Genomic DNA, 9,116 nt, shown 5'->3' with positions numbered 1-9,116 from the left:
GATTTGGGGGACTCGGTGGGGGAAAGGCGCGCGGGAGATGAGGTAAACACGAGGGGTCGGAGGGGCGGCCTGGGGCGGGGTGGGGCCATGCCTGGGGTAGGCCACGCCTCGGGGAGGCCGGGAGAGAACCCAGGCGCTGGGGGTCGCGGGGGAGCCGGCCGGTCCTACCCTTAGGTGTCTGAGGCCGCTCCCCACACCGCTGCGGTGTGCATTCAGCGGCCCTGTCTCCTCCTTCCTGGCCTGCTCAGGGCACGGCTCCTGGTTGGATGTCACACGCGTGACTCCTGCAGCGCCCGCGCGCAGGGACCCCTCGCTGCCTCAGCCAGACCTCCCGCCAGCCTCTACCACAGGCTCAGCCCACTGTCCTGGGTGGGCTCGGTGCAAACCTCTGGTGAAGAAAACCTCCTGGGGGTGCCCAGCCGGGAGTCTGTCTCAGAGTCCCACACTCTCTCCATCCAGGAGAGCCGGTGGGATAGGTCTCTTTAAAATCCCGTTATTTATTTGTTTATTTTTTCCTCTTTCTTCCAGTTTTTTCCATATGACTTTAGTGATCAAATCCCACTTTTTTTTAGAAGGCTTTTTTTACACCAGTGGTTTTCAAACTGTGGTCCCAGGACCAGCAGCACTGCCTTTCCTGAGATCTGCTAGAAATGCGGGTTCCCCAGCCCCACCCTGACCTTCTAAATCCTAAACCTTGGGGGTGGGTCCCCATACTTGTCTTTAGCAGGTCCTCCTCGTGGTTCTGACCATTGATCTGAAACCTTAGGGCTTTGAGGAGTCTGAACTGGGGTTGAGGATGGGCCAGGTGCCCTGTGATGATAATGCATGACTCCATTTAATCTTCACAGCCCTACACAGTAGGTAGTATTACCCCATTTCACAGATTAGGCAACAGAGGTACAGAAAGTTTAATTTTTCCAAGGTCACAGACCTAGAAAGGGGAGGAGCTGGGATTCCAACCTTGGGTTCCGGCTCCAGAACATTCCCACTGAGGCGAGGTCCCCTGTGAAGGTGGGGAGGGGTGAAGCCCAGAGGTCCTGGCGGCCTCCCTGCCAGGCAGAAACCATTAGTTCCAGAATCACGACCAGCCAGGTGCGTGGTCAGCAGTGGCCCTGCCTGCCTGCCTTTGGGCGAGCCCTGGTCTGTGTGAGCTGCTGGGTCCAGGTCCCCGGGCAGGATGTGTTCGCACTGGGGTGCTGACGGGGCGCCTAGAGGCCTGGGTCCAAGGCCAACCTCACAGGGTGACACAGGGATGCTTCTGGGTGACAGAGTGTCCGTTTCCTCCTCAGTCTGATGGGGGCGGATACCCCCCAACCCCATGCTGGCAGCTGGGAGGGTGGGCAGCCTCACAGACTCAGGCGTGGCTCTGAACTGTGGCCCCAGGTGGTCCACAACCTGTCCTGCCCAGCCTAGCCCCTTTCAAGGCACAAGGGTCTCTGACCACTGCCCCATAGCAGGGTTTCTCGGCCTCCACACTACTGACATTTGGGGTGGGGCAGTTCTTTGTTTTGGGGGGCTGTCCTGTATCACCCCCTGTCGGGACAACCAAAACCATGTGCAGACATTGCCCAATGTCCTCTGTGGGGACCTTGGAGGCAATGCCTCCACTGGCATCTTCTGGCATCTTGGCTCCTCCCTGGGGCTCTGGGATTAGAGGTTTCCTGGCCCACAGCCCACTTTCCCACAGGAGCCTCCTCCAGCCTGTGCTTGGTTGTTCATCTGCACGAGCTGTCAGTGACACAGGGACATTGGAGCATGTTCTCCTTGCAAACACTCCAACATTCAGGTGGAGCTGAGGGGCCTTTGGCCATGTCCACAGCTGGGAGATCCCCCACCCTGCAAGGGGCACAGAGCAGGTGTGGTGCTGACACCAGCTGGGCCCTGCTCCCGGGTCACCCTGGCCAGGCCTTCCTCTGGCACCATGTGCAGGCACAGTGAGGGTGGACCAGGGCTGGGGCTCTCTAGGTACAGCTGCACACGTGTTCCCAGCATGAATCACGGATCAGGGCTGCGCCAGCACCTGCCGCTCTGGTGTTTGCTGTCACCAAGCACAGTGGCTGCGCACTCTTGGGTTAACCTCCTCAGGCACGCGTGTGAGTGACTCACCAAGACTGTGGCTGAGTGAGGATGTGTGGCCTGGAGTGGTCACTGCCCAGTTGCCTCTGGCAGAGGCAGACCCAGAGCCCTGTGGCTGTGTTCCAGGCCCTTCTCCCCACCCCTTGCCCTAGTGGTGGTGAGGTGAGGTGCATCACACCAGGTTCATTTATTTATATTAAAAAAATTTTATTGACACATAATAGATGTACATATTTTTGAGTTGCCTGTGATAATTTAACACGTTCATGTAACTTGTAAAGATCAAATCAGTGCAATATAGACATCCATCATTTTAGAGATTGGTCTTTTATTCCAGAAACATTTGAATTCTAGCTATTCCGAAATATAAAATAGATTATTGTAAACTATAGTCACTGTATTGATTCATCAAACACGATTTCTTATTTCTTCCATCAAACTGTGTATTTCTAGCCATTAACCATCCTCCCTTTTTCCCCCTGTCCCGCCACAGGCTTTGGTAACCATTGAACTTTCTACCTCCTTGAGATCCCCTCCTTCAGCGCTCACATATGAGTGAGGCCATGTGATGTTTGTCTTTCTGTCCACGGCTTATTTCACTGAATGTAATGACCTCCAGTTCCATCTATATTGTTGCAGATGACAGGATCTCATTCTTCTTTATGGCTGAATAGTACTCCATTGTGTATATGTACCGCATCTTCTTTATCCTTTCATCTGGTATGGAAACTTAGGTTGATCCATATCTTAGCTATTGTGAATAGTGCTGCAAGAAACATGGGGTACAGATATCTCTTCAATATCCTGGTTTCCTTTCTTTTGGATATGTACCCATTAGTGGGATTGCCGGATCATATGGTAGTTCTGTTTTTAGTTTGTTTTTTTTTTTCAGAGATGGAATCTCGCTCTGTTGCCCAGGCTAGAGTGCAGTGGCACAATCTCAGCTCACCACAACCTCCACCTCCTGGGTTCAAGTGACTCTCATGCCTCAGCCTCCCAAGTAGCTGGAACTACAGGCGTGTGTCACCACACCCAGCTAATTTTTTGTATTTTAGTAGAGATGGGGTTTTGGCATGTTGGCCAGGCTGGTCTCAAGCTCCTGGCCTCAAGTTATTCTCCCACCTTGGCCTCCCAAAGTGCTGGGATTACAGGCTTGAGCCACTGCATCTGGCTTGCTTTTAGTTTTTAAAGGAACTTCCATACTGTTCTCCATAGTGGCTGAACTAGTTTACATTCCCACTAACAGTGTACGAGGAACACTTTCTCCACATCCTTACCAGTGTCCATTATTCCCTGTCTTTTTTATAAAAGCCATTTAAAATGGGGTGGGATAATATCTCATTGTGGCTTTGACTTGCATTTCTCTCATGATTAGTGATGTTGAGTACTTTTTGCATATATGTGAGCCATTTATGTCTTCTTTTGAGAAATATCTATTCAGATCTTTTGGCCATATTTTAATTGGATTTTTTTTATATTGAGTTGTTTGAATTCCTGGTACTATATATTCTGGTTATTAATCCCTTGTGAGATGAGTGGTTTCAGATATTTTCTTCCATTCTGTGGGTTATTTTTTCACTTTGTTGTTTCCTTTGCTGTGCAGAAACTTTTTAGCTTGATGTAATCCCATTTGTCTATTTTTGCTTTGGTTGCCTGTGTTTTTGAGGTCTTACACAAAAAGTCTGCCCAGACCAATGTCCTGCAAAATTTCCCCAATATTTTCTACTAGTAGTTTCATGGTTTTAAATCATATAAGCCTTTAATCTGTTTTGATGTGATTTTTTAATATAGTGAGAAATAGGGGTCTAGTTTCATTCTTCTGTATATGGATATCCTGTTTTTCCAGTCCATCTATTGAGGAGACTGTCCTTTCCCCAGAGTATGTTCCTTGTGCATTTGTCAAAAATGAGTTGGCTATAAGTGTGTGGATTTATATCTAGGTTCTCTCTTCTGTCCATTGGCTTATGTGTCTGCCAGTACCATGCTGATTTGGTTACTACAGCTTTGTAGTATATTTTGAAGTCACTATGATGCTTCAAGCTTTATTCTTTTTGCTCAGGATTGCTTTGGCTATTTGGGGTCTATTGTAGTTACATATAAATTTTAGAATTGTTTTTTCTATTTCTGTGAAGAATGACATTGGTATTTTGGTAGTGATTGCATTGAATCTGTAAATTGCGTTGGGTAAAATTGTCATTTTCATTGAAATTCTTCCATTCCTCAAACATAATGTATCTTTCCATCGGCTTTCATTTTTATTTCCCTAACCTCTTCTCAGGTGGCTGTCTAGGCTGCCTTTGTGTTTCTCCAGCTGAGCTCTTGTTCCCATCCTGTGTCAGTTTCTCCATGGTTTTCTCTGTAGGAGTTCTTCATTCTTTTTGCACACTTATCCTTTGTCTCTTGTATTGGGTCCAACTATTTTCTCCTAGGCTTTTGCTTGCTTTTAAATTTTATTTAGAAGTTTTGTCCTACAGAATATTTAAACTTTGATGTAGCTAAATTAATCATTTTTCCCCTTTGGTTTTTGCTTTCTATTGTGTGTGTGTGTGTGTGTGTGTGTGTCCCTTACCCTTAAGGAATTTAAATCCCTGATCGTGTGTGGGTGTGTGTGTGTGTGTGTGTGTGTGTGTTTCCCTTACCTTAAGGAGTTTAAATCCCTGATTTAGGTTCAAATTTTTTTCTGGCTGTCCACTTCCCTGGTTGCTCAGGACATCCAAGCCCTGCCTTTCTGGCAGAGGGAGCTGGGAAAAGTTAACCACCTCTCTTTGTTCCTGTCCATAAGCCTTGGGCGTCTGGGTGCCTGTAGCATTGCTCGGGTGACCACTGGCCTTGGCAAGAACAGTTTGCATCAGGAGAAGAGGAGGGGAGGTGAGAACACACTGTGGGCATGATTCTTTGTATAGTTTTGCCATGAAGAGGAGGAGGGGAATGAAGTGAGAGATAGCTTGACGTCAAGGCTGGGTTTATAGAGGCAGATCCTAGAGCAAGTTTCTGTTCTCATCAGATGATCCCACAGAGGTAGAGGGGAGAAACTGAGGAGGCAGGAGAGAGGGGTTCCTTGTAGGTGCGACCCCTTGAGAGGACCCTGGTAGGGTCCCAGGCCTAGGGGAGACACTGGCCTTTCTGGTGCTCTTTTAATTCTCTGTTTCCTCTTCTGCGTAAAGTGATCGTTAATAGTCTAGCCTTCCCACAGTCCCGTAAGGATTAAAGGAGGTAAAGGCATACTGCATAGGTCATCGGTAGCTGTGTCTGTTATTTTTTGAAAAGATTAGGGATCTGGCATTGCAGGGACCCCATGATCCCCACCCTGTTCTGCCAAGCATCCTTCCTCCTCATGGTTCTGGGGCTTCCACCCAGAGAAGCAGAGTGGGGCCTGGAGAGCCGGCCGATAGCTCAGCTCTGTGTGGTACGGGTTCCTCCCAGTGTGGGCAGGGTCCAAGTCCTCCTCCTCTCCTTTCTTCTCCACTAGCTGTCTCTCCATGATCTCCAGGCTTCCAGTGTGAGCCTGGCTCAGTTTTACCAGCATTGCTACAGAGGATGTGATAGGAATTTAAAGAAAATGGCTGGTCTGGCCTGAGGGGTCAGGCTGGAAGGTTGAGGACGAGAAGGTCATGAGGAAGGTGGAATGGGTTCTGCTGTTAGGACCTAAGGGATGCAGCAGTGGCCTTGCCTAGCCAGGAGAGTGGCCATTCCTGCCTGTGGGAGTGGGGTGGAGAGTTGGAGGGGCCTGGTGTGGTGAGAGGGAGGCATTTTCTGCCCCTGGCATTGGGCCCCTGCAGGTCCTTCAGGGAGGTGGGAGGCAGGTGGGAGTAGGCAGTTCCCATCTCTGTTTATTGCCTCTTGGAGCCACACCGGTGCCGCCTGGGCCCAGGTTCTCTGGGCTGGATGAGGGGCACCGTTCCTGCCACCGAGGGTGCCGCCAACTCGAGATGCCTCCCTGTGCCCTGTCCCCACTGCACATCACAGTCGCCCAGGCCGGCGGCTCCTTTGCTAACTCATCACCTGCTCCATTCAGGCCCCTGAGAAGGAAGCACGGAGGAGGCAAGAGGCGCCATGACTCTCAGCTTCTCCCTGCTGCAAGGCACAGTGTGGGGCACACATCCCTGTTCAGTTCTTCCGTCAGCTCCTCCTGAATCCATAAATTCCTTGGGAAAATGTTTTACCAGCAGTTGGGAGGCATAAGCCTACCACCTCATTCCTTACCTGAAACTGTGATTGACAAGCAAGGATGACAAGCAGGCATGTAGACATTTTACTGAACACGGGCCAGAGATGTATACTTTCTATCAAATAAAATCCAGGATCTAGAACATGGATTAAAAAAAACAGTGAGTGTGTGGGCCTGTGTCTGTGTGGGTAAACATTGGAAGGATATACACTAGACTTGCACTGATTATTTTGGAATAGTGAAATTGTCAGTGATTTTTAAAGTGTTATTTTATTTATTTATTTATTTATTTTTGAGACAGAGTCTTACTCTGTCCCCTAGGCTGGAGTGCAGTGGTGCGATTTCAGCTCACTGCAGCTTCCGCCTCCCAGGTTCAAGTGATTCTCCTGCGTCAGCCTCCTGAGTAACTGGGACTACAGGTGTGCATCACCACACCTGGCTAATTTTTTGTATTTTTTGATAGAGATGAGGTCTCACCATGTTGGCCAAGCTGGTCTCAAACTCCTAGCCTCAAGTGATCCACCTGCCTCTAGCTCCCAAAGTGCTGGTATTACAGGCATGAGCATCGTGCCCAGCCTCGTTATATTATTTTGTATTGTCTAAATTATATTTTTTATTAACACATGTCACTTTTGTAATTGGAAAAATAATCCAGTTATTTTCATTTTGGAAAGGAAAGGAGGCTGAGGTGGTTTATTGATTGTAGAATAGATGAAGAGATTGTGGGGCAGTCATACAGTTCAGTTTTCTACAGCAATAAAATAGATTCGGCAGCATGGCTGAATCTCAGAAATCTAATGTCAACTGAAAGAAACTGGACATGAAAAGAATCCGTGGAGTGTTACTTTGTTGATCTAAATCGCAAAGTAGGCCAAACTCAGCTGTAACACTTAGGGCTGCACACATTGTAAAACTAAAGAAAAAATAAAACAGATCGAGGAATGGTCATCCCCAGAGTGAGGCTAGTATCACCTCGGGTGGGGAGGAATGAGTTGTTATCAGAGAGGGGCTCAGAGTGGAGAGGCTGGTCATGCTTTGCTTCTTGAACTTAGTGGGAGTATAAGTGTGCTTGCTTTAATATTATCTCATAAATGATTCATAATTTTTTTATTGTGATATAAAGTTCATACCATAAAATTCACCCCTTTTAAATGTACAGTTCAGTAGAACAGAAAACTTATATTCACACAAAGACTTGCACATGAATAGTCATAGGAGTATTATTTATAATAGCCCCAAAGTGGAAATAACCCAAATGTCTGTCACTCATTAGTGGGTAAGCAAAATATGATATGTCCATGTAATTGAATATTACCCAGCTGTAAAAAGGAATGAAGTACTGATTCATGTAACAACATGGATGAAGCTTGACAACATTATGTTAGGTGGTATCTTACTGTGGTTTTGATTTGCATTTTTCTAACAATGAAGCTGAGCATCTTTTAATGTTAAGTGAAACCATTGTTTCATGTGCTTATTGGCCATTGTACATCTTTGGAGAAATGTCTGTTTAATTCCTTTGTCATTTAAATTGTCTTTTTATTGTTGAATTGTAAGTATTCTTTATATATTTGGGATACTAAACCCTCATTAGATATAATGATTGGCAAATACTTGCACATTTTGTGGATCGTCTTTACTTTCTTGAGAGTGTTCTTTGAAACACAACTTTCAAATTTTGATGAAATCCAATTTGTCAGTTTTTTCTTTGGTTGCTTGTACTTCAGATATCACATCTAAGAAACTGTTGCCTAATCCAAAGTCCCTGGGATTTACACCTGTATTTCATTCTAAGTGTTTTAGGTAGTTTTAGCTCTTATGTTTAACTCTTTAAGCCATTTTGAGTTAGTTTTTGTATGTGGTTTGAGGTAGGGGTTCAAATTCATTCTTTTGCATGTGATTATTCAGTTGTCCCAGCCCCGTTTATTGAAGACACTACTCTTTCCCCATCCAATGGTTTTTATACCTTTGTCAGAAATCCATTGGCCATAGATGCATGAATTTATTTATAGACTCTCAGTTCTGTTCTGTTAATCTATATTTCTATTCTTTGCCAATACCAAGTTTTACAATAAGTTTTGAAATTAGGAAGTCTGTGTTCTCCAACTTCATTCTTTTTTTTCAGGATTTTCTGTTCCCTTGCATTTCCATTTGCATTTTAGAATCAGCTTGTCATTTTCTCCAGAAAGAAAGAAAGAAGGAAGGGAGGGAGGGAGGGAGAAAGAAAAAAAAAAGACCACTGGAATTTGAATAGGGATTGTATTAAACCTGGAGATCAATGTTTTATAGTTTTCAGGGTACAAGTTTTGGACTTCTTTTGTTAAATTTGTTCTGAAGTTTTCTTCATTTCTTGCATTTCTATTGCAAATGCAATTGTTTTATTTATTTACTTTTAGATTATTCATTATTAGTGTATAAAAATAAAACTGGCCGGATACAGTGGCTCACAGCTGTAATCCTAGCACTTTGGGAGGCTGAGGCAGGAGGATCAGTTGAGCCCAGGAATTTGAGACCAGCCTGGGCAACATAGCAAGACCTCATTTCTACAAAAAATAAAAAACTATAGCCAAGCATGATAGCATATACCTGCAGTCCCAGCTGCTCAGGAGGCTGAGGTGGGAGGATCACCTGAGCTCAGGAGTTTGAGACCAGCCTGGGCAACATAGCAAGACCCTGTCTACAAAAAATAAAATACTAGCCAAGCATGGTGGAATATGCCTGTAGTCCCAGCTGCTCAGGAGGCTGAGGTGGGAGGATCACCTGAGCTCAGGAGTTTGAGACCAGCCTGGGCAACATAGCAAGACCCTGTCTACAAAAAATAAAATAGTAGCTGAGCATGGTGGAATATACCTGTAGCCCCAGCTACGCAGGA

The 9,116-nt window shown here is 46.1% G+C and overlaps 1 protein-coding gene across 21 annotated transcripts in view, besides 1 other annotated feature; it reads left to right on the top strand.

Annotated features, from left to right (window-relative positions):
• The window catches only part of SLC41A3 (solute carrier family 41 member 3), a 95,164-nt gene that overhangs the window by 17,603 nt on the left and 68,445 nt on the right, over window positions 1–9,116 (top strand). The gene's annotated exons all lie outside the window — the stretch shown is intronic.
• Window positions 37–146: a silencer, noted in NCBI's record as "silent region_14672". NCBI's record gives its function as "represses an Ori minimal core promoter by ATAC-STARR-seq in GM12878 lymphoblastoid cells {active_cell/tissue: GM12878}" and the evidence as "EXISTENCE:reporter gene assay evidence [ECO:0000049][PMID:35858748]".

The sequence above is a fragment of the Homo sapiens genome, chromosome 3 (genome assembly GCF_000001405.40).
Source record: "Homo sapiens chromosome 3, GRCh38.p14 Primary Assembly".
NCBI classification, from domain to species: domain Eukaryota; kingdom Metazoa; phylum Chordata; class Mammalia; order Primates; family Hominidae; genus Homo; species Homo sapiens.
This window is presented reverse-complemented; position numbering and strand designations above follow the sequence as displayed.